Consider the following 1,950-nt stretch of genomic DNA (forward strand, 5'->3'; position numbering starts at 1 on the left):
TCCAGCACTTTATAAATGTCACTTCATTGCCTTCTAGCTTGCTTGTTTTCTGAAAAGAAGATCATGTATTTAAATAGTACATGGATCAATGTGCCAAAAACTGAATATTTAGTTGATGATGTATGAATACTGGCTCACTTTATGGAGAAAATAAAACTGGATTTCTATCTTATGCCATACAAAAAGGTACACTTCAAAAAAAGTTCTCATTGTGAAAGATAAGTATATGAGGTTAACAGAGGGAGGATCAAAGCAGACAGGATGGCGTCGAGCGGCAGGGAGCTAGGGAGTTTATTTGACCACCAGGTCCAGAGAGCAGTATGCAACACGTGGGCCAAATATCGGGAGGGACGACGGCCTCGTGCTGTCAAGATATATACAATCAATTTGGAATCTCAGTACTTATTAATACAAGGAGTTCCCGCTGTAGGAACCATGAAGGAAATAGTTGAGCGATTCGCTTTGCATGGTGCAACTGAACAGTACAATGTTCTAGATGAATACCCTGCAGAAGACTTTACTGAAGTCTATCTTATTAAATTTATAAACTTACAAAGTGCAAGGACAGCCAAGAGAAAAATGGATGAGCAGAGCTTCCTCGGTGGATTGCTTCATGTGTGCTATGCTCCAGCATTTGAAACAGTTGAAGAAACTAGAAAAAAACCAGAAGTGCGGAAGGCATATGTAGTAAGAACTACTGAAAATAAAGGTTTTAAGCCACGTGAATATATTCCCTTCTCAAGGAATAAATTTTTGGAGTAGAATTTGTTAACATTTTTAAGTGATTTTTTAAATTATATGATTCTGAATGATGAAAACAATACATAAGCCACTTCTGTTTTCCTTCCCCTCACCTTTTAAATTGTAATATAAAGACCATTACGTGACAAAGAAATTGGTTACAGAGCATAAAGACACAGAGAATTTTAGACAAGACTTCCACTCAGAGATGTCTGGGTTTTGTACAGCTGCTGTGAACCCTTCTGCAGGGAACTCAAATCCTTATCTTCCATATTCCTGTGAATTGCCTTTATGTTATTTCTTCTCAAAATGTATATGTTCATCCGGGGGGCATGTAGACAGAGCATCAGACTCTTCTAAGGATGATAGAAACCATGGTAAAACAATGGGGCATTATAACCACAATGATTCTTTGCAGAAAACACAAATAAACACTTTCAAAAACTCAGTGGCCTACCCTGGTGCAGAAAAGGCTATTACTCCTTCAGAGGCAGTTGACAGACAGATTTATGCCTAGGACAACAAAACTGCAGGAGCGCCAAAGAGGAAGAGAAGATGATTGTAAAGTTGGAACTTTTCTTGAAACAAACTCAAGTAGTAATGAGGTTATGACTGGACCTCTGTTACCAGATATATCTAAAGTGGATATGCACGATGACTCATTGAATACAACAGCAAATTTAATTTGGAATAAACTTAAACAGGTAATTTCATCTGCCAAAGCCTCCGGGGACAAGCCGGCAGAGGTACATACAAGTCATCCATTAAAACAAAGAAGAAGAATATAGAGTGCCAGCAGCAAATTAGTATTTTCTAAAAAAAAAAAAAATTTTATTTTTAGCCTGTCATTTCAATTATTCAAGAGATTTTACTGCTGGTATTTTTTAATGCACTCCTATTTGTAATTTTATTCAACCTACTTGTCTAAAGTCATTTCTTCTTTTTTTGATCCATACTTAATGGTGCAGAAACTATTCTTATAATTATAACATTACCTCTCATGTATGGTAATTATATGTAAATTAATTAAAGCAAGTATGGAAACTTTACAATATAAATCAAGATAGGCAACCAGGAAAAAACGTAATAAAATAATAATAATAAAGTTAACAGAGGTTAATAAATGTTAACAAAGATAAATTGCTCATAGATTCTATAGCATCTAATACAGGCTTTCTGTCAACAAAAGGACACAATGAACAAAGTTAA

At 35.4% G+C, this 1,950-nt stretch overlaps 1 pseudogene; it reads left to right on the forward strand.

Annotated features, from left to right (window-relative positions):
* Positions 243-1,689, forward strand: RBM48P1 (RNA binding motif protein 48 pseudogene 1; annotated as a pseudogene).

Source organism: Homo sapiens, chromosome 4 (genome assembly GCF_000001405.40).
Source record: "Homo sapiens chromosome 4, GRCh38.p14 Primary Assembly".
NCBI lineage: Eukaryota > Metazoa > Chordata > Mammalia > Primates > Hominidae > Homo > Homo sapiens.